A 24,262-nucleotide genomic window follows, 5' to 3' on the forward strand; every position below is an offset into this window, starting at 1 on the left:
TGGGCCTTCCAAAGTGCTGGGATTACAGGCGTGAGCCACCGTGCCTAGGCAGAATTGTATAACTTCTAAAGTAGTAGAAGAAAGGAAAGGGGGAAAAAGAATACTCAAATGAGACATATACAGACAAAATATGAAAAAAAGAAGGAATTTTAAGGATGTAAGAATATAAGAAAGAATTAAGAGAACAGAAAATGATAAATATATAAGTAAATCAATACAAGCACTGACTCTATAAAAGAATAAAAGAAACGATGCCTTGTGGAGTTTGAAAAATTATATAGACTTAAAATACTCAAAAGACTAGTGTAAGAATTGCGGGGAGGGATAAATAAGAAGGGTGTTATTCAAAGGAAGGTAAAACTATTGATCACTTTAGAATTTAGTAAGTTAAAGACGCATGCTATAATTACTAGGCTAATCTCTGAAAGAATAAAACAGTATGCCTTTCAGAGTGGTGCAGAAGAAAAAACAGAGTGAGACAATGAACTCGCTCATCCATAAAAAGACAAAAAAGGCGAGAAGAAACATAGAAACTGTGCAACAAACAGCACAAAAGACTCCAGCAGATATGGACTAAAATATATCGGTACAGTTAATTATAACAAATGTAAATCAACTAAATGCTCCAGCTAAAAGATGATGGCAAACTGAAATGCTTACTGGGGCAGAGTAGGTCACATAACTGAGTAAACAGCCAGGTGTAGGAAAGCAACAACCCAAATAACCACAACTGATGTCTCCTCAGGGTCAGGGAGACAATAGAGTGTGGTGGCGCCTGGGGTAAACTGGTAAGCGTGTACCTGTCTAAGGAAGGTAGTTTTTTTTTTTTTGTTTTTTTTGTTTTTTTTTTTTTTTGAGACGGAGTCTAGCTCTGTCGCCCAGGCTGGAGTGCAGGAGTACAGTGGCGTGATCTCGGCTCACTGCAAGCTCCGCCTCCCAGGTTTATGCCACTCTCCTGCCTCAGCCTCCCAAGTAGCTGGGACTACAGGCGCCCGCCACCATGCCCAGCTAATTTTTTGTATTTTTAGTAGAGATGGGGTTTCACTGTGTTAGCCAGGATGGTCTCGATCTCCTGACCTCATGATCTGCCCGCCTCGGCCTCCCAAAGTGCAAGGATTACAGGCGTGAGCCACCGCGCCCAGCCTAAGGAAGGTAGTTCTTACAGATCGTTGCCATGTGGGAATACAGTCCAATGTCACATATGTTAACTTTCAAAAACCTGGGAACTCGGAGTTTTATGGGAAATCAGAATTTTAAACATCAGCCATGAATTTTTTTTTAAAAAGCAAACACTGAAAAAAGGAAATAAAATGCTATTGATCCAGTGGAGGGAAGAAAAGAGATAAGATGAAACAAATGAACGAAAAGCACGGTAAATAAAATGCAAAAACAAAAAAACATAAAGCAAAAGGGTGGAATAAAAAAACAACTCTTTCAAACCACTGAAACATGAATGGAAGCGAAGGCTTATGCTAAAACGCCACTGTGATCCCCACCCTGTAATTTCCGCCCTGTTCAACCTTATCATTTGGCTGAAGAGACCTAACATTAAAGGACGGGAAAAACATTAAATAATCCAAACATAAAGCACATGGAGCCCCACTGGCCACTCAAAACTCATAATAATGTCTGGATGGTCTGGATGTTTGTTCCACCAGGTCTGCTTACACCAAGTCTCCTTTGGGGGCTTACTGGATACCTGGGCTTATCTAGCTATTAAGAAAAACGGCAATGTTAAAAGGAATGCTCTGTGCCTAAAAGAATGGAGAGGAGGAAGAAGAGAAAGGAAAAGAAAAATCCACAACATTCACCTTAAGTTACTCTTTGAGCCAGTTCCTGGAATGTCAGTTCTTCCCCATAGACCTTACTATGAGGTAAGGTCTCAAATGTTCAGTGTGGCTTCCAAGGCTTTTCAGACCTGGCTCAGTTGCATCTCAACCTCTGCCTCTACACCATTGCCCGTGCTGGTGGCCTGCCCAGATGTCTTTATCTCCCCATCTGTACTTCCCACCAAACCCTTTCCAAGTGAAGCATTCTCTAAAAGTTGCTTGAGGTTCCTGACAAAATCCCTGTATAAGGAATGCACCACATGGCCGTTTTTAAGTTTGGTTGTACTCTGCAAAAATTTGTGTAATGAGACAAAGAAAATTGTATTCATCAGAAGGCACATGGGGAAAATGGGTTGGCCTGATAAGGCTGCTTCTGGAGAGAAATGAAGCCAGGATAAGGACTGGACTCTTTTCCTAGAGTATCTTGCCTTGAACAGGCCTCCTGCTAACCTGTCTTATCCACTGGAAAACATAGCTACAGCGCTTGCAGTTTAATATCTTTAAGAGGTGCACATACATATTTGAGGGCTTAAAAGAGATAATTGTTTCCAAAATACAAAGAGATAAACATGACAATTACCAAATGTTTAAGTAAATGTCTACAAATATACGGTACTTTTTTTTTTTTTTTTTTTTTTTTTGAGACGGAGTCTTGCTCTGTCGCCCAGGCTGGAGTGTAGTGGCGCCATCTTGGCTCACTGCAAGCTCCGCCTCCCGGGTTCACGCCATTCTCCCGCCTCAGCCTCCCGAGTAGCTGGGACTACAGGCGCCCGCTGCCACACCTGGCTAATTTTTTGTATTTTTAATAGAAACGGGGTTTCACCGTGTTAGCCAGAATGATCTTGATCTCCTGACTTTGTGATCCGCCCGCCTCGGCCTCCCAAAGTGCTGGGATTACAGGCGTGAGCCACCGCGCCCGGCCAATATATGGTACTTCTTTCATTGTTAAATCTAACAAATTTCAATAACATTTTGTTTCAAAATATTTTAAAAATATTTTCTTGTGCATGAAAACAATTAGTAAGTTAAGCTGACTTTCTTTTTAAGAATTCTTGACTGCATAGCTCCTGAGAAAACAGAGCTAATCATAAATTGAATGACATACTTACAGTCAAATGATTTCAAAGGCCCAATTATAAAGGTGCTTTTCATCGCTTGCTGCACAGATTATATTTAATGTGAGGTGTGGGTGCACGTTGTTATGTTTGGTATGCTCGTGGGCAGAAGAGGAACTAAGGCCTCAGAAAATCTTAAAAGACCTGGTCCCATGTACAGCAGGAGGGTGCAAAGAGAGCTGGTATTAATAGGATGTGAAGCGACGTAGGGGGAAATGGCAGAGGGTGTGTCACAGCTGAGTGGTCCATTTGCTGCTGCTCGCCCTTCATGAATGAAATCTTCAAAAAAGCTACAGACTCTGGAAAATGCTGCTTTCCACTGGATTTCTTGTAGGGGATAAGGGTTTGAGTCCAGGTGACAGAGCCACTAAGGAGTGCCAGGGCAGGGTGAGGGCCCATAACGAGCTTATGATGCCAAGCATTGGGGTTCAGGCCAAGTTCTTCCTGCATCTTTGAGGGGCAGGGATGCCCCAAGTGAGAATTGTTACCTGCATTTCATAATATATGCTCTTCTCAAAATGCAGGTCCTATCACAGTTGTCTGGAGCTGAGGGTGAGTTGAACATAGAAGTGATCAGGAGTCTTTCTAAGGGCTCCCATTCAGAGGATCCCATTAACTCAGAGAAAAACGGGAAGAGATAATAAACAGCCATCACAGAAGACACTGATCTAACAAGGTCTCCCAGCATTTCCACAGCAGCCCCCTGTCTGCCATGTAGGGGGTTGAGAAGGTGGGCTGTTTGCTTTCAGTTATAATGGGTCTATGCTAAAAACAAAACAAAAAACTCAGGCGGGAGTAAGAAGCCATGGCAAGTGGACATTTCTCCCTGTGCAAAACTGATGAGTGGGAGGCAGTAAGAAGAGAGCAAACTGAAGTGCATTATTTTTCATTTATTTTTACTTTAAATAAAAAGCATAAAGAATTTGAAAATATTTTGTTAGCCTTCAACCTTCGAGTCACTTTAACCTATCCACATTAAAGGGCCACCATAAAGGCTTCATGAATAGCAGTCCCAGGATAATTCCCTTCTGTTTGCTTGTTCCTGTGCATTTCATGTCTGCCCACCTCCTGAGCCTTGCACCTGCCCTGTGGGTTTGGTGCTTGCACAAATCAACCCCCCGACCCCCGGCCTCCTCTACCCTGCCCTGAGAACTCAGCGTTCCATGCATCCTCAGGCTTTTTCTGCAGGCTGTCAAACCCAGGCATGAGCTCACCAGGGTACCAGCTAGTAAACTACATCCACACAGTCAGGTTGAGGTATCCACTTTAGAAGGGGACTCTGGGACATGGAGTACAGTGACCATTATACCTCAGTTAATGGAAACTTGACTCCCAGCCTTTAACCCTGACAACACATGAACCACCCCGGAAAATTGGCCTTGCCAGTATTTTTAAACAGACCACGGATCCAAGTTCGAGACAAGTGTTTTGCGTGGCCAGATGGACAGTTTCAGCTGGATGTCTCAAGGGCATCCAGTCCATATATTGATAATATATCAATAACAACAAGGATCATAGCAAATACTTCTATATATCACTTATTCTACAATATTAACTCATTTAATCCTCGAAACAACCCATGAGGTAAGTACTGTTATTATTCCTATCTTAACAGATAAAGAAGCTGAGAAAGGTTAAGTAACTTACCCAACAACAACCTGGCAAGGTAGGGACTGTGGAGCTCATTTTACACAGGAAGGAAATGGGTTCACTGAGGTTAGGTGACTTGCTTGCAGAACCAGAACTGAAACCCACCTCTGCTGGCTCTAAAGCCTATTTCCTTTCTAGGACTCAAGGCCTCTCCAACACCACTATTTCTGTTAAGAGCTACATCTGTCTCCCAATCACAAAGCCCCAAATGTCAGCATTGCCTTGGGCAAATCTCACTGATTCTGTCTCTGGAATGTCTCCAATATTAGCCCCTTTCTTTGCACTCCAATGGCTCCTGCTTTACATTTCACTTTCATATCGACTTTTGTGTGGACCATCTCAAACTGATTTTACATCCTACATTCTCTTCCCTCTCTACCCTCATGGAAAATTACTCTTCTTTAAAACACAGCTCTACAAAATGTCAACAGCAGAATTACCATGATATCAATTTTTCCCCCTTGTTCTCTTCTGTGTTTATTGAGTTAAAGGCATTGAGATTATATTCCTTTTGTAATAGGAAAAAAATGGCAGAAACAAAACACTATCTAATGATGTTAAGTCCTGTATGTATAAAACTCACCAACACTATTGCTAACCACATAAGTGCAAACTCACTGAGCTGAACTATTCAAGACTTTTTACAAAGAGAGTCAAAAATCTATAATTTGTTCAATCAATATTTCTTGAGCACTTGGTACACTAGGCTGGGTTTTCTGTAATGAATGAAAGATATAACTCTTCTCTTAGTGGAGCTTACAGTCTGTTGGGGGAGAAGCCATTAAACACACATACATGATGTACAATTACAAATTGTGCTGTGTGCCAAGAATGAAAAGAGCAAGTGCCACAAGACAGGACAACGGGCAAGAGCTAGTTTCGATGGTGGACCAGGAATGCCTCTTTGATGAAGATACTTGTGCACAGAGACTAGAAGGATTCAGGGTGGCAGTATTAGAAGCAAGTCAAAGAGTATGAAGAACTTCCAACGCAGGAGGACCGGTAAGTGAGAAGACCTGTGTGTAAACCTGTAAGCCAATACCTATCTAAAGTTTCATTTGATGAAATCTATTAAGACTTTTAAGAAGAAGATCTGGAACAAGAAATCCAAACAATTAATAGGATAGAAAATTGATCACTTCTGCCTCTGGCTCAAATTTGAAGCACCCTTCAAAGCATTATGGAGGCAATGAATAGAATAACTTCCTGTGTCTTGAGTAATCACATCCCAAATGAACAGACGCATAAGTGGATCAAGCCTAACTAAAGCTAGTCCTGTGGCATCCAAGTGTCAGGGTTTCATATTCGATTAAAACTTTCACCTGGCATTCAAGGGCCCGCATTCTGATTACAATCTAATTTTCCAGCTTTATGTTAGTTAGCTCTGGCCTTCTAGAGATGAGAAGCAGAAATCCACCCAGGCTAGTGTGACTGTGGGGAGAAGTGGTGCTTTAAGAATTTAATGGGAATAAAGAAAATATGAGGTTCATATGAATCTAAACAGGAGTTAAAACAGGACTTGGCCATGTATAAAGTGGAAAGACTCAAGGCAGCTTAAGAATGCTTAGTGTTGGGGCTGGGCGTGGTGGCTCACGCTTGTAATGCCAGCACTTTGGGAGGCTGAGGCAGATGGATCACTTGAGGCCAGGGGTTCAAGACCAGCCTGGCCAACATGGTGAAACCTCACCTCTACTAAAAATACAAAAATTAGCTGGGTGTGGTGTCACATGTCTGTAATTCCAGCTACTCAGGAGGCTGAGGAACGAGAATCACTTGAACCTGGGAGGTGAAGGTTGCAGTGAGCCAAGGTCTCACCATTGCACTCCAGCCTGGGCAACACAGTAAGATTCTGTCTCAAAAATAAATAAATAAATAAATAAAATAAATAAATAATTCTTAGCGTTGGGAGGCAATTCTCCATAACGTTTCTATAAGTCATGCCAGACTATATTTTCTGGGATATTTGCATAGCAAACAGCCTAGGAAACTAAAGATAGTGTTCCCCTGCAGATCAGAAGGCACATGTGTTTCCTGACTAGCATAGTAAAGACAGAGAACATCCCCTGCCCAGAGATCGGTTTACATTCCAGGGTAATAAGCTTTATTACCCTGGAATCAGCCGTCTCTGGAGGGGAGGATAGGCATGTCTCCTTATAAAATTGGGGTTTTCTAAAGCTCAGTGTTGCTCAGCTGTGAAACAGACCCCTATGTGCACAGTATCCACCTAGGCCCACATCCCCATCACCTCCATGAGACCTGGGGGGCCAGGGAGAACTGATGATGCAGACATAATGCTCATGCTGCCTGATGTACCACGAGTAATAAACTAGATAGGTACATTTGGGTTCATTATTTCCTTTCCAGCTGATCTAGTAGCTTTCTATTCTAAGCTGCTCCTTAGGGGCTGCTTGGCCACCTGACCCTTAGAAGCAAGAGTTCGAAGATTTTTCACTTTTGCGTATGCCATTAAAATGACTCAACTATTTCCATAGATTCTTCATGTACATCTTTCTCACCCTGATGCTATGGTCTCTTCTCTGCTTATTGATTCTGCTATGCTATCATCATGGCTTCTGCCTTCTCTTAACTTGGTCTTGCTCATGGTCTTTTGTGTGCATCCTTGTAGATTTCACTTCTGACTGTCTGATAATCTTTACTTCCAAAACCAAACTTCTGAGAGAAATAACCTATTGGGACAATGTGTCCCTGAATGGACAGGGATTTTCAAGGCAGGCCAGTCCCTAGGTCTGCCAGTATGCAGACTGGCTCCCCTTGAGTCAGGTGACCATCATGATGATTATTTATCTGCTGTTTCAGCCTCAAACCTGCCCTACTACATTTCTCTGTGTTTCCCCTGCAGCTGGAAGTCTGCAAACAACTAGCTGTTTCCTATTATGTTGTATCCATGGGAGGCAGAGGAGGGACAGCATCAGGCAGAATACAGAGAGACTTTTCTTGCATTTAGCTCTAACTTGTGAAAACTGCTGTAGTAGCAGCAAGGGTAACGGTAACTCAGAACTCCAACCATATCACCCAACTCAGCACAACATTCACCCCAGTGGATATCAAGGTACACTGCAAACATAATGTTTTACACAGAGATCCAAGATTGGTATCACATCTCTCTTTTTATATTTATTTATTTATTTTTGAGATGGTGTCTCGCTCTGTTGCCCAGGCTGGAGTGCAGTGGTGCAATCTTGGCTTACTGCAGCCTCTGCCTCCCAGGTTCAAACAATTCTCCTGCCTCAGCCTCCTGAGTAGCTGGGATTACAGGCAAGCGCCACCACACTCGGCTAACTTTTGTATTTTTAGTAGAGACAGGGTTTCACCACATTGGCCAGGCTGGTCTCGAACTCCTGACCTTACGTGGTCTACCCATCTCCGCCTGCCAAAGTGCTGGGATTACAGGTGTGAGCCACTGCGCCCTGCCTGGTGTCACATCTCTAAAGGGGTCATGGCATACCCATCGAGTAGCACTGACAACCAAACAGGATGCCCCTTTGCTTATCTAGAACACTATGGAATGTGGTCAGCACAGAAAGGAGAAAGTGCAGCTTACATAACGTACACATTTCAAGGCTGCCTGTATTCACTTATGTTGTGCCAGGGCTGACAAATTGACTGGCATAGGGCTATACCATTACATGCCAGGGGCTCAGAATTGTTCCTACTTATTCTGGAAGGACTGGTAACTTACACAGACTAAAAGAGTGAGACATGATGTTTCAAGTGATAATATCTAGCGGGGATTTTAGATAATCATGGCTCCCACGGTAGTTTTAGAAAATGTGGATACTGCCGCCTGGTCTTCTTCCTAGCCATTTTGAGTTTGCTTTCCAGCTTTTCGCTGGTGCTTCATACTCACTTTTTGCACTGGCATAGCCTTTTGTCAACCGTATTTCCATTTACTTCTCCTAGTCCGTCTTTCCCTTTCACTTGTGGTTTTCTTCCCTTGTCATTTAAGCATTCTCAACTACACATAGAAATCCAACAGAAGCCTTTTGTGTGGGGGATTCCCTCAGTCCCAGGCAGTCCTGAAAGCAGCAGGTGTCTCTGCAAAGGCTTCTGTCAGACCTTAGACTTATACCCAGCAGCTGCTAATCCTGAGCTCTCACTCTTAAAAAGCAGTAAAATAGACTTCAGTCAAAAACAAGTATGGTGGGAGTTAACTCCCTCATCTTGAGCTCAAGCCACACTTGCCTTGAAATTTTCCAAAAATTCACTAAGCTAATTTCTCTCACTATGGAAAGAGAGAAAGGCTATGTTGCTGGTATACAATGCTGCCTGTGATGGAGGTGGTGAGGCATAAATTTCCCTAATCGGAAGATAAAGGCTAACCACGTATGTGGGTGATGGGGGTTGGAGGTAGCTTCCAGGGCACTGGAGCTACAAGTAGAAGCACAAATTTTCCTGGCTGGAAACAGGCCCCTAGAGGGAAACATCACACCAGATAAGGAAATAATCTTTTTTTTTTTTTGGTCCAACAGGGCACTAAGGCTCATTATCATATGCCAAGTAATGTCCACCTATACAAGAATACACAAACTAACTTCTTATGTTATTAACACAAATGTATCTCTAAAACAGTCACATAAGCTAAAAAACAAAACAACTATTAAACTTGACTTTATATTGTTTATGGATTCATTCACATATATAGTAAATATTCTTTAAGGTGGTGAAACAAGATATTAGGACAGCTACTTAAAGTTCAAAAGAGCCAATGTGCCTCTTTTGCCCACTGTTTTGAAATGGTGATGCAGCCAAATTTCAATCCATCAACACACTTCCCCTCTGCATTGCACACACAAAGCATCACCTGGCTGGGCCTCTTGTTCGAGCTCTCTGTAAAAACATAGAATTCCATAGCATTACTTTAACAGCATATGGTCCAATCCCCCTACTACAGATGGGTGAACTAAGGCTCATGCCTTCAGTGAGCCAACAGGTATAGAGGACCTACCACGTATCAGGCGAAGTTCTAGACCCTGGGGAGAAAAAGATGAATGAGACACAGTTCTTGTCCTAAAGGTGCTCATGGTTTAGTGAGAGAGATTAGACACAGACACACACACTCACACCCCTGCAATAAAATATTAAAAGTATTATTATGTGTGTTTGTGGAATTATGAGATTCCTTGCAGATTAAGAAGCAACTAATAGTGTTTGAGAGAGGGACTCAAGAAGAGTTTCCCACAGGAGATGAGATTTGAATGTGGGCCATTTAAAGATGAATAGGAATTTGTCTGGTAGGAGACAAGAAAGGGCATTTGAAGCAGTGGAAACAGCATGTGCAAAGACATGTAGTGTGAAAGCACCTGTTCTCTTGGGGAGGAACCTAGGGTGGCTCAGGAGCTGGGAGTAAGGAGTGGGAGAGGAGGTCCAGATGGGTTCCTTGACTTGCCGTAAGGTCCTACAGCAAAACAACTCCAAAGCCCACCTAATTAGGTTTCTTGACTCTCACTCCAGTGCTCTTTACACTGGACCTTGATGCTTTTAGCACCAATAAAATGTAGCCACGTGAAACTAGAATCATTTTTAACATAATAAATACCATCGATGCTGTAGGCACAATGGGTAGCTTAAAAGAGGGTCTGAGGAAAGCCCAGAAAAGCAAATTCGAAGGAGAAATGTAACAACAATGACACCTACCAGAATAAAAAGAGTATTTATCAAAGCCCTAGATAGCACATCATACAGCCTTTTTTTTTTTTAATTCAGAAAATAAAGGATACCAGGACAGAGGAAGATGATAATAATAGTGATAATAATTGCAACAAACGGTCCTAGTGTCTCATACTTTAAAAAAATCCTCCTTTGTATATATTATTTCTTCGGAACGATGAGATAATTATGTAGTTTGGTTAAAATTAATATGCAATCCATAACTAAAAAGAAGAAGACATATTATTTACAACTGTTCATTTGAAGCTATCACTGTTGTCAAAATATAAATCAGATGCCTTCATGATGAGGAATTTGGCACAAGTTCCACATAAGCCAGAAGGTTAGAAAAAGAGAAAAAGGAAGTGTATTCATGCTATTCACTAAGAAAAAAAAGTTTTCTCCACAGATGATGGGAGGCTTTGAAGTTGTGCAAGAGAGCACAGCCACCGACAAGGAGAAATGAGTGTGCAGTGTACTGTTACAGCATTTTGGGGCCCATGTTGAATTTGCCATAATAAGTCTATTTTCTGTCCAAAAAATGGTCAAACTTTTTATTTTCAGAGATTAAAAAAAGACATATATCTGTATCAACCATTCTTTTTCCATATTCTAAATTAGAAAGATAATTCCTTAAAAATCAATATAGGTGGTTGGGCACGGTGGCTCATGCCTGTAATCCCAGCACTTTGGGAGGCCGAGCAGGCAGATCACAAGGTCAGGAGATTGAGACCATCCTGGCTAACATGGTGAAACCCCATCTCTACTAAAAATACAAAAAATTAGCTGGGCGTGGTGGCAGGCGCCTGTAGTCCCAGCTACTTGGGAGGCTGAGGCAGGAGAATGGCGTGAACCAGGAAGGCGGAGCTTGCAGTGAGCCGAGATCGCACCACTGCACTCCAGCCTGGGCGACAGAGCAAGACTCTGTCTCAACAACAACAACAACAAAAATCAATATAGGAATTTGCCTATGTTCTAAGCACCTTTATTTGATATCACTACTTTTATAGGCATATCTCTTTTAAAGTCTTGTCTGAGATACCTAAATGGAAAGTAGTTTACTCACTTCGCTGCTCAAATTGAGAATCCTTGTAGTGAAGAAGAAAGAATTTTGCAAATGAGATTTGAGAGTAGAGAGGGATGTCCATGACATCTTAAGAGCAAATTGCAGGGTATTTGCACATTGCTGTTTGTGCCTGTTTGTATGAGGAAGGAGAAAGTTGTGGAAAAATATGAGCCAATTTGTGGATGCTGGTTCCCACTGTGGGGTAAAAATGAAGGGGGATTACGGAAGAGATTAACTTTTTTCTTCATATATCTGCATAAGGTTCACACTCATTATAATGATCATAAAATGTCACAATTTTCCTTTAATTGAATAGAAAAGATTAAATAGAAAAAACTTGACAAGAAAAATAAACCCTAAGAATAAAGATTTTTTAAAACACTAAAGAATGGATTTACCAAGCATTCCCTGAGCAAAATGTATTCCACAGCAAAGAAATAGGCCCAGGTATCAAACAGGTAGTCTGCCAGCGAAATGCTGCCCAAGTGACTCTCAAGATGAGGTCTACCTAAAGGTTTTCAGAAATGAAATTCATCTAGCATCTAGCACCATAAATTAGCAGACCAATAGGATTTAACCATTTACCAAAACTGCATCTGGGAACTGATAACTGCCAGGCATCATGCTAGCAGGTTTACAGCAATTACTAATTGCATCTGGAGCAGAAGGTAATTAACTCCAGTTTTAGAGCTATTTGGGTTTAATGTACTAACTTTCTGTCATGAAGCTGACAGATAAAAAGAAACTAAGTATGAAGCATGCTTTCAGGGATATGTCTCCAATGTTTGGGAGTCTGTGTGGGTACTGCAGGGGAAAGGGCAACGCTTTGGAACAAAGCAATCCTGCATTTAAATTCTGGTTCAGCTATTATTTGCTGTGTGGCCTGGACATATCCCTTAACTTCTATGAACGTCTGATTTCTAGGGTGCAAAATGGGGATAAGTATTCCTATCTTACAGGCTGTAGAAGGAAATGAGTAAGATCATATACTAAGCTACTTAGCAGCCACACTTGGCAAGCAATAGACACATAATAAAGGAAGCTATTATTACTAAATCATTCCAGTACACCTTGATCAAGAGTGGGCTCACTCTGCTCAATGTATGTAAGAACATACATTTGGGATTTTTTGTTTTGTTTGGTTTTTTGAGACAGAATCTTGCTCTGTCACCCAGGCTGGAGTGTTGTGGGAAGTCAGGGACCCCAAACGGAGGGACCGGCTGAAGCCATGACAGAAGAACGTGGATTGTGAAGATTTCATGGACATTTATTAGTTCCCCAAATTAATACTTTTATAATTTCTTATGCCTGTCTTTACTGCAATCTCTAAACATAAATTGTAAAGATTTCAGGCTGGTCGTGGTGGCTCACACCTGTAATCCCAGCACTTTGGGAGGCCGAGACGGGAGGATCACGAGGTCAGAAGATCGAGACCATCCTGGCTAACATGGTGAAACCCTGTCTCTACTAAAAATACAAGAAAATTAGCCAGGCATCGTAGTGGGTGCCTGTAGTCCCAGCTACTCGGGAGGCTGAGGCAGGAGAATGGCGTGAACCTGGGAGGTGAAGGTTGCAGTGAGCTGAGATCCCGCCACTGCATTCCAGCCTGGGCGACTGAGCGAGACTCCATCTCAAAAAAAAAAAATTTCATGGACACTTGTCACTTCCCCAATCAATACCCTTGTGATTTCCTATGCCTGTCTTTACTTTAATCTCTTAATCCTGTCAGCCGAGGAGGATGTATATCGCCTCAGGACCCTGTAATAATTGCATTAATTGCACAAATTGTACAGCATGTGTGTTTGAGCAATACGAAATCTGGGCACCTTGAAAAAAGAACAGGATAACAGCAATGTTTAGGAAAAAAGAGAGATAACCTTAAACTCTGACCACCGGTGAGCCGGGCAGAACAGAGCCATTTTTCTCTTCTTTCAAAAGCAAATGGGAGAAATATCGCTGAATTATTTTTCTCAGCATGGAACATCCCTGGGAAAAAGAATACGCACCTGGAGGTATAGGCTTATAAACAGCCCCCACCCAGGTGCACCTGTCTCTTATGGTTGAGACTGCAGGGGTGAAATAGACCCCAGTCTCCCATAGTGCTCCCAGGCTTATTAGGAAGAGGAAATTCCTGCCTAATAAATTTTGGTCAGACCGGTTGATCTCAAAACCCTGTCTCCTGATAAGATGTTATCAATGACAATGGTGCCCGAAACTTCATTAGCAATTTTAATTTCACCCTGGTCCTGTGGTCCTATGATCTCGCCCTGCCTCCACTTGCCTTGTGATATTCTATTGCCTTGTAAAGTACTTGATGTCTGTGACCCACACCTATTTGCACACTCCCTCCCCTTTTGAAAATCCCTAATAAAAACTTGCTGGTTTTTGCGGCTTGTGGGGCATCATGGACCCTACCGACATGTGATGTCTCCCTTGGATGCCCAGCTTTAAAATTTCTCTCTTTTGTACTCTGTCCCTTTATTTCTCAAGCTGGCCGATGCTTAAGGAAAATAGAAAAGAACCTACGTGAATATCAGGGCAGATTCCCCAATACTGGAGTGCAGTGGCGCGATCTTGGCTCACTGCAACCTCCGCCCTCTGGGTTTAAGTGATTCTTCTGCCTCAGCCTCCTGAGTAGCTGGGACTACAGGCACGCACCACCAAACCTGGCTAATTTTTGCATTTTTAATAGAGACGGGGTTTCACCATTTTGGCCAGGCTGGTCTCGAACTCCTGATCTTGTGATCTACCCACCTTGGCCTCCCTAAGTGCTGGGATTACAGGCGTGAGCCACCATGCCCTGCCAAGAACATACATTTGTAACAGTGCCACCCCTCCCCCTATTCCACATAAGAGTTGTGGTCATGTGACAAATTTTGGATCCTGAAGATCTTGTTAAAATGCAAATTATGATTCAACAGGTCTGGTTCAGGTGATGCATGTGTAGTGAACTGCTGGTGATGCTGATGCTGCTAGTCTGTGGGCCACAATCAGAGTGGCAAGGTTCTTGGGAAAAACTGCTATATATTAAAATAAAATGGGCCAGGCAAGGTGGCTCACAGTGTAATTCCAGCACTTTAGGAGGCTGAGGTGGGAGGATCACTTGAGCCCAGGAGTTCAAGACCAGCCTGGGCAACCTGGTGAGACCTTGTCTCTACAAGTGATTTTTAAAAATCAGCTGGGCACAGTGGCATACACCTACAGTCTCAGCTATTCAGCAGGCTGAGGCAGAAGGATCACTTGAGCCCTGGAAGTCAAGGCTGCAGTAAGCCATGATTGTACCACCACACTCCAGCCTGGTGACAGAGTGAGACCCTGTCTCCAAAATAAATAAATAAATAGATAAATAAATAAATAAATTAATTAATTAAATGAATGGAGCTGAGGGAGTCAGGAGGGACCGTGAGGCAGGGTTAGCTACTCCATCCCTGTTCCTGCATGCCTGAGGGACATTTCCACCATAGCTCGTGCCACACTGTATTAGTTTTCCCATGCCTGTTCCACTAGGCTGGGAGCTCCTTGAAGACAAGGAACCCATCCTGATGGCCCCAAGGGACTGCTGAATTCAATTCAGACACTCAATTCAGGCTATGTGTAAACAAATGAAGAAAGTAATGAATCCATGAATGTATGAAATTCATGTAATGAATGAAATTAAGGGAAATGACTGTTGGTTAGTGTATTAAAGTCTAAATGGGTTCAAACTTCCTGTTTCCGAATTACTGGACTAACTTCATATATTACCAGTATTGAGAGTATTAAGTGCTTTATTGTTTGATATCCAGGCAAGAGAACTATCAGGAAAGATTAATCCTGGACATTCACTTTAGAAAGATAAAGTTTCAAGAGTTCCCTTTACTGTAACACACAAAAGAAAGACCCAGAACTCCCTTTTCTCAAGGGACATCTCCTATCCTGGAGGAACAGTAAGTACAGTTCCCAGCATATCACTAGGACAACATCATTTACAAAACAATCATGCTGGCAGCATACTGTTATAATTAGCATAGATTCTCTTCTAAGGCACATAGAAGCGTTATCTCTCTATGCTAATCACTTTAAAGGTTCTGTAAGCAATATCACTAAAAACGAGCAAAAAAACTCTCATTACTTGTATGACAAAATACAGCAAGTATTCCAACTGAGTTGTCACATCAGTGTCCATTTTTACAATTAACTCATGCTGTGTTTACATGCTTAATCCTACTGCAGGAACAAGTGGAGATTAAGTTTGCCAAGTAAACCACTATAGCAAAGTCTGGTTTTATTGCCAGGAGATAGAAACCTGTTAAACTCAGAAGGACCACTGAAAGTGTTAAGTTTCAATGGACAGCAATAGGAAGCACTTGCCCAAACGTGATCTATTTACATAGCATGCATTCTTCTGATCAGACTCTCAGGTTATTCGATTGGTCAGTTCAGGGCCTGCCTTCCTATGGCTCTTTTGTTGCAAAGTGGGACGTCACATGTAAGGACAGTATAATGTCAACTTCTAAACTTCTCCAGGTACATGTAAAAGTTTAGTTCTACAGCCTAAATATTAAAAAATATGGATGTGGTTAACCGTGGTTCATCTCAATAGAATAATAGGACTCCAATAAATATGAGGCATTCCATTTAAAATAGGGAAACTGTAATTAGGTGTGTTTTAAAATTTAGCTCTGGTTTAATCAAGTCAGCCTAAGCAGTCCAACATATTAGTCTTTGTCAGTAAAGGAATCCATCCACTCTAAACTCTCCCTGGGCTTCTGAAGAACTTTAAAATTGTTCATTAATTAATGCTTTCAGCACTCCTACAGCCTCATTATGCTGTTGTTATTAAGCATTTTATTTTCTTGGTCCCAAGGGTTCCCAAAGCAAATACATGTTCCCCAGCAGACATTTATGTTTTCCTCCAGAAGAGTTGGTTTTCCATTCTTGATCTAAAACAAATGTTAATTAAAACGATGGTTAATATGGCCCACACTTTTCCCAAACATTTTCAAAGTTGGCAGCATTCCATTCTCCTCTTCCTATATTCCAAGAAACTCCAGCAAGTGATTAGTCTTCTTCATAGAGTAAAAATATCTAGACAAAAGCAGTCAAAGAATATTCTGAGTAGCTTCCCAGAAAGATATTCTTAGAAAAGCTCCCTGTTTGGGGCTCTTATACATCAGAGAGCTTCAATTCCTACAAACTTTGTGGAGGTTACTTTAAAGGCCAACTACCTTTTGACTCACAAATCACTTCTGGGAAATTTTCCTAAGGAAAAAGCATAGATTTCCACAAAGCTTGGATGTGAAAGCTTGTGAATGTCTTTATCACAACATTGTTTAATATTTAAATTCAGAAAAACCTAACTTCCCAAAAATCATGGAGTATCCATACTATAGAATTCTATATAGACATATGAAAAGCTTTAATAAAATATTTAAGGATATTAAAATATTTATGATTTAGTATTATACAAATATAAGAAGACAATGAGAATAATTTCTAGAATTATCACAATTTCCTAAAAAATATATATACATATTTGACTGTAAAGAAATAAACTCAGAACTTACTAATAATTATGTCTAGTTTCAGGTGATTTTAATTTCTTTTCTGTACTTTCCTAAATTTTTGTAGTTTTATATGTTCTAAATTAAATATATATTACTTTGTAATTAAAATATAAAATGTTTTACTTATTCCTTTCTCTTAGCAATGTGAATATAGTCTTCCTACATGGGGAATTAATCACTAGATTAGTAGGAAATTAATGAAATTAACAATGGATGAACAAAAAGTTAACTTACCACATACATTTGGCTTTAACTTCTTGTATGTAAATAAATTCCTCCCAGTAGATTCTCTACCAACTACCTCCAGTTTCTATTAGCTGATCCTTGTTTAGAAGCAGTCCACTGATTTTTAGTAAATCAAAATGAAACTCCAAGAAAGACAAGAAGATGAAATGTGAAAAGGAAGCTGGCCTTGGTGCTATGCACAGTGATGGAAACCATGAATATGAATAGATGGAGCATTCGGATAGCAGGATAATAGAAGAGGGAAATGCATTCATTTGACAGCTGCCAACTCCCCCTCCCTGCACTGTCACTTCCCGGCTGCCCACCCCCTTCTCCAGGCCTTGATTCCCAGCCCACAGAAACGCCGTGGTGCGTGTAGCCTCTATGGTGTTCTCACACTCCAAAAGCGCAGAAAATAAAAGGCCACTATGTTGAAAGCTTGTGCCTCATAGAGTAACAACAGTGCTAAAAGTGCTTAAAAATACGTTACTACTTTTCATATCAATCACAGCGTTTTCCAAGCTACTCCCCAACCTACTGTGAGGTACAAGGGTGAGCATTGTTTAATTGGCTTTGGGAGTCGTATGAGCTGTGCGAGACCTTTAATTAGAGGAGCTGGTGGAATAAGCGTGTGATGTGTGTGTTAGGGAGGGGTGGGCTGGTTCTGCCATGGTCTTTGTAATCCCTTTGCAAATGCACCTTTGGACAAACTTAAAAGAAAGTAGAGGAAAGTTAGAAGAACTTGCTTCTTACTAAAAGAAGTTCAAGGTAGCAGTACCCTAGGTTTTGTTCATGTGCCTAATCTCTGAATTCAAATACCACTTAATAATGATGCTTAAACTGTTTATTCTCAATGTCAGAATGTTCTCATCTAGGTCAACAGAGAAAACCCTGATTTGTAGTACTGGGGTCTCATCCCAGAGACTGTTGGTGCTGAGGCACATGCACCATTGAAAGGGGAAAGTTATTCAGTACTAGCAGCAGTTGCTATGTAGAGATAAAGACCTGACATTGCTGGATCTTATGATTCTTTAAGCGTAATTGGAAATCTATTTTTTAGGTGAAATCTGTATTTTTATAGGTTGATAACTTAAAAGAAAAATCAACACTTTCTATGAGCAAACAAAACATCTCTGTGGGCCAAAATAGGCCTGTGGACCTCTGATTCAGGAAGAAGAGGATCTTAACACAAGATTTTTTAAGCACATTTTAAAGTGCACCAAATTTATCTGTATATGCATAAATTATTATCCAATAAATTCAGTAGAAAAGAACCATGAATTTAAATTCTAAACCACCTGACCAATTTATCTGAATCAGCTCCTAAAATCATTTTGGGTCTATTTTCCTCCTTTAATTAAAATAAGAATAATCTACTAAAGTTTTACAATTTAAATATTGACAATTATATTTATTTTTGCATCTCAGAGCCACTGCTGATGTATTTCTTTTATGTATGAAGAGACTGAGGAACAAGGAAAAATCACAGAAAAGCCAGAGGATGAAGCTGGAATGCAAGAGTCCTGTCTCTTTATGATTCAACAATCAAATAAAAACCTTCTCTAAAAAATGACCAAGAAAGCAAGCTTATTAGGTTCATGAACAGAGTCATCACGTAAACAAATTACTTCTATAATAGTCCCAGTAAAATGATCTCAGGTTCTTATTTAAAACTCATGGAAAGGAAATATGTCAGGTTAAGACATCTTTATCTGTTTTTAACAACTGGAATATTAATCATATCTAATTCAATGTATATTTCAAAATGAGTAACTCACATATTCACAGCACTGTCCAAATTAATGAACAGGTCCCATTACCTAGGACTCATACTTTAACATTTACTAATTCGCTTTCCACACTGCCATTTCTCGTTAGAATGGCAACTTCTAGTTTGTGAAGGAAATGAGTCATTCCATGCAACTATCCCACCTTCTGAAGGACAAGTCACAGCAGGAAATGAATGGCTTTTGGTTTTTTTTTCTGCACTAGTACAGAAAAACAATGTATCTAATACTGAAGGATCTGAACTTTGGGACAATCACTTTTTCTAGATATTGTTTGCAACTTTCAGAACATTCTTATAAATTAATGTAAATTAGAATTATAATTTTGCCATTGTGTTATGTTGAAATGAAATCTACAGCTATCACTAAATGTTTATGAATTTTCCATCTACAATCAACCTTTCAATTAGTCTTATACAAAGTCGGTCTCAAGTTAGATTTCTGGTTTTTACATCTAACTTAAATGCATCTTGTGGTTAAATGCTGTGGAAGGTTTGACTAGACCTCAGAACTATCAATAACTTATAAATAATGGTTAAAAATCACCATTAAAGTGTGTATAGCAGAAACCTAGAACTGAAATTCACTTGAATTGAGTCTGGTTCACCTTATTTAGTTTCTTCCTTATTTAGTTTCAAATTCCCTGTGCTGGGTTGGGGGGTGGGGAGAACCCTGTGACTTATAGATATATAAAGTGTCTTGTGAGAAATGCAAAATTCCTTCGTAAAACTACCTTATCATGCTGTCCAAATTATAGAAAGCACAAACAAGTGTCCTCACTTAGACAAAAGGCTACAGTAACCAAAACAGCATAGTACTGATACCAAAACAGAGATATAGACCAATGGAACAGAACAGACGCCTCAGAAATAACACCACAAATCTACAACCATCTGATCTTTGACAAACCTGACAAAAACAAGAAATGGGGAAAGGATTACCTATTTAATAAATGGTACTGGGAAAACTCGCTAGCCGTATGTAGAAAGCTGAAACTGGATCCCTTCCTTACACCTTATACAAAAATTAATTCAAGATGGATTAAAGACTTAAACATTAGACCTAAAACCATAAAAACCCTAGAAGAAAACCTAGGCAATACCATTCGGGACATAGGCATGGGCAAGGACTTCATGACTAAAACACCAAAAGCAATGGCAACAAAAACCAAAACTGTCAAATGGGATCTAATTAAACTAAAGAGCTTCTGCACAGCAAAAGAAACTACCATCAGAGTGAACAGGCAACCTACAGAATGGGAGAAAATTTTTGCAATCTACCCATCTGACAAAGGGTTAATATTCAGAATCTACAAAGAACTTAAACAAATTTACAAGAAAAAAACAAACAACCCCATCAAAAAGTGGGCAAAGGATATGAACAGACACTTCTCAAAAGAAGACATTTATGCGACCAACAAACATATGAAAAAAAAACCTCATCATCACTGGTCATTAGAGAACTGCAAATCAAAACCACAATGAGATACCATCTCACACTAGTTAGAATGACGAACATTAAAAAGTCAGGAAACAACAGATGCTGGAGAGGATGTGGAGAAATAGGAATGCTATTACACTGTTGGTGGGAGTTTAAACTAGTTCAACAATTGTGGAAGACAGTGTGGTGATTCCTCAAGGATCTAGAGCTAGAAATACCATTTTACCCAGCGATCCCATTACTGGGTGTATACCCAAAGGATAATAAATCATGCTACTATAAAGACACATGCACACGTATGTTTATTGCGGCACTATTCACAATAACAAAGACTTGGAACCAACTCAAATGCCCATCAATGATAGACTGGATTAAGAAAATGTGGCACATACATACCATGGAATACTATGCAGCCAAAAAAAGGATGAGTTCATGTCCTTTGCAGGGACATGGAGGAAGCTGGCAACCATCATTCTGAGCAAACTACCACAAGGACAGAAAGCCAAACACTGCATGTTCTCACTCATAGATGGGAACTGAACAATGAAAACACTTGGACACAGGGAGAGGAACATCACACACCAGGGCCTGTCATGGGGTGGGGGGTGGGGGGAAGGATAGCATTGGGATAAATAACTAATGTAAATGATGGGTTGATGGGTGAGGCAAGTGAATCACTTGAACCCAGGAGGTGTAGGTTGCAGTGAGCCAAGATCGCCCCACTGCACCGTAGTCTGGGCGACAGAGTGAGACTCTGTCTCAAAAAAAAAAAAAAAAGTGCTATTTGTGAGATAGGGATCTACATGAGCAATTTAATGTACTTCCAGCAAGGGAAAGTAGGGAATCGAAACTGTTAGGGTAGACTTTTGTTTACTTGACAAAAAAAAGAGAAGTTATTAGGCAAAAGGAATTTTAAATATTACAGTTCAAGTTTTACCTGTGTAGTCCTTGATGCTCTTTCAGGAAAAAAACACTCACTCTCAACAAAAAGGGCAAAGACTAGAATCTGACCCTGTTTGTCCTTCCCTTTTTTTGCCATCAATTTGCCTCTCTTATTTCTTCCATATATACACGATCCTTCTCCCTACAAATGTGACAGATCTCCAGTTTCTAGTCATGATTTGCTAAGCATAGTGCTGCATGCTCTACTTACATACTTCACTGCCTGTTTTCAGATCAAAAGAGACAATGAGCGAATTCTCCATTTCAAAACCACAGCAATCTTTATATCCTCAGGTCCAGCACTTTAGGACCTGGAGTCATTGATCTAGGTCTCCCACACAATATCAAACCAAATAATACTTAATACTAATTCCAAATACCTCTTCCCTATTCATATACTTATTTTAGGATTTAATTTATCTTTCACTCTTTCTGTGAAGTCTAGGGACTGGACAGCTACCTCTTCAACTTGTCATCCTGTACTTAGCATTTTACCTCTGAATAACTCACAAACTACAGTATACCCCAAACCAGATTAAAGGTATGCATTGGATATAGTGTTTAAGCACAAAAACACCCATCAGCCAACTGAGGACTGTTGTGTGAAGACTAATGTCCTGAGATGGCCAAGTACACATCAGGTGTCCCTTTCCTCCCCAGGAACACGGCCAGGGCAGCCATCAGCTAAGGAGACAGAAGCTTTTCTGGCTTCAGAATCTTTCTTAACACAGCCTCTCCAGGCAGCCACTACTGAAGGGTCAGACTTGGTCCTCCAGATGAAAAGCTTTTGTCATGTGGCCTCCAAGCCCTCAATCCACCAGGATGCCCAAACTAAATTCTTACAGATGGGAGTATCTTCAGTCTTTCTAAAGAGAATGTCACAGGAAAGTAGGCAGGAATCTCTTTTTATCCAGGTTTTAGCCTAAGTGTTAAGATCAGCAATTCTAAAACATGGTGTCAGCCCTTTGTGACAAAGTCCTCTATTATCCTGTTCATCTCCCTGCTGAATTCTTAGCAACCTCTCTCAGAGATCTGCAGACCCTTTTTCTTGGGGGAAAGAGGTAGTTTCCCAAAGCTGTAAGTGTTAGTTCAGAGAATGAGAGATGCTGACTTCATTGTTTCCCAATTCAGTGAAGCAGGAGCCGGACTTCAGGCATCTAATTCTCCTCAAATAAAGAGCTAGGGGTGACTAGACTGGAGGAAGAACATGACACACGTGTGAGGTCTAAGAACCAGAAGAAAAAAGGAGGGAAAGGGAAGGACTGGGAGTTGAAAAAATTTCAATTTGCCTTTACATGGTACCTATATTTCACTAGAGGAAAAATTGACCACGAATGTCAAATGTAGTAACTTTTCATTTCAAGTTCTTGTCCTCTCCATCTGCTCCAATTCAGAGCCCAAATGCCCGAAAAGGGCAAGATAAGATAAAGTAACGAGACCATCAACTTCTCGCAAATTAATAAGTTACCATAAATGAAAATCAAAGTGGAGGCGGATCCAGCCCCAACTGGCTGCTGTTCTTTGGGAAGGAGAGGTGGCCACTGTCCTAGAAGGCGGCCCTGCCTTCTCCGTCAGCAGCAGCCTCAGTCAGCTCTCCTGCGCTCCTGTCTCTTCTTCCTGCATACTCTGCCCCAGATTCTGACTTGAACCTTGCTAAAATACTGATTAGCCCTCTGTAAAGTTTGGCTGTCCAGTGGCACCAGAATCATAGAATAATCAGGGTAGTGGACCCTGTAATGTGCCATCAGATTCCTTTAGGACTAGGGCATTTATTCTCCCAGTTGGGAGTGTTAGAGGCTGGCAGCTTTCAGCTGAGGGCCTCTCAAAGAAGCATGCTTAGTTAGAGAGAGCCACCGCCCTGGAGGGAGTTTGCCCTCTTGGGATTGGGCAACCCACAGCCAATGACTGGCTGATGGAGAAACATAAAGGCCTTGCCCCCTTGCCTTAACTCGGGACCACTCTTCAGGCTGTCCCGGCTCCAGAGCCCCCTGTGCATCACAGCCATCTTCTCCCTCTGTTCCGTTCTCCTGCTTTCATTCCCCTGCCAGTCCTTGTGGCCATAAGCAGTCCCTAATGAACCTCCTACTTGCAAATCACAGGGTCTCAGAGTGAGATTCCTGGATAACTGAACTGTGACCATCAGACACAAAGTACAAATAGTGCTTCATCATCTTTTGCTCAACTTTAAATTCATACATTATTTACTGACATCCCTAATGCTTGCATCAGCCACATTTATACGTTGGTATTCAGCAAACACAAGAGGACATGGCTAGGCTGCCTGTCCCCCAGTCCAGTGATAACAATGCTACTGCAGGATTTGCACCATGATTTTAAAAGATGCAGTCCTCATTTTGTGTGGTTCTGATATGCACCCATTTCAGTGAGCACAATTTAAATGACACCCATCCTACAACAACCCTGTTCAAATTTCAGTTACCACAAGATATTATAGTAGTAACTGAATGAAGTATGCTCTTCAGCCCACACTACAAAAATGACAGATGCATAGCACAACCAGTGGCCAATCACATCACTTCTTTCAAAGACTGTCAGTGACTGGCCTGGTCACTGCACATCTGAGCAGTAGAGTGATACTTGGCCCTGGGGCTTGGGGAGATAAAGGAAGGACAGCAAGAAAGCAGGGCACACTAGCCAGAGGGTGGTTATGGATGACCTCCTTGACTATCAGAGTCCTGAACAGGAGCAGGGCCTTAGAAGGGGTCTGGAAGCATGTCAATCCATCCACATTCAAGCACAGGAAAAGTGGGACCAATATCAAACCTCATTATTCATTTCCCACCCCTACTGTAACACATTACCACAAACTTAGTGGCTTCAAACATCATAAGGTGATTTTACAGTTTGGAGGTCAGGAGTCTAAAATGGGTGGCAAGGCTGTGTTACTGCTGGAGGTTCTCAGGGAGAATCCACTTCCTTGCCTTTTCTAGCTTCTGGAGGCTGCCTGCATTCCTTGACTTGTGGCCCCACATCA

General features: G+C 41.1%; 1 protein-coding gene across 3 annotated transcripts in view, besides 2 other annotated features; it reads right to left on the minus strand.

The window, feature by feature from the left end:
• Window positions 1–24,262, minus strand: part of MOB3B (MOB kinase activator 3B) — a 204,606-nt gene that overhangs the window by 155,472 nt on the left and 24,872 nt on the right. Inside the window, exon 1 of one of the 3 annotated variants that reach the window (XM_047423892.1) lies at window positions 17,108–17,324. The exons of 1 other annotated variant lie outside the window; for it this stretch is intronic. The gene's annotated coding sequence lies outside the window, so the exon portion shown is untranslated. Of the gene's footprint in view, window positions 1–4,591; window positions 4,692–17,107; window positions 17,325–24,262 lie in introns of those variants that run through there. One more of the 3 variants, XM_047423895.1, reaches the window with a different exon arrangement.
• Window positions 4,570–4,699: a silencer, noted in NCBI's record as "silent region_19819". NCBI's record gives its function as "represses an Ori minimal core promoter by ATAC-STARR-seq in GM12878 lymphoblastoid cells {active_cell/tissue: GM12878}" and the evidence as "EXISTENCE:reporter gene assay evidence [ECO:0000049][PMID:35858748]".
• Window positions 14,009–14,714: an enhancer, noted in NCBI's record as "H3K27ac hESC enhancer chr9:27494687-27495392 (GRCh37/hg19 assembly coordinates)". NCBI's record gives its function as "activates a minimal SCP1, AML or CMV promoter by ChIP-STARR-seq in primed H9 embryonic stem cells {active_cell/tissue: H9 hESC(primed)}" and the evidence as "EXISTENCE:reporter gene assay evidence [ECO:0000049][PMID:30033119]".

The sequence above is a fragment of the Homo sapiens genome, chromosome 9 (genome assembly GCF_000001405.40).
Source record: "Homo sapiens chromosome 9, GRCh38.p14 Primary Assembly".
NCBI lineage: Eukaryota > Metazoa > Chordata > Mammalia > Primates > Hominidae > Homo > Homo sapiens.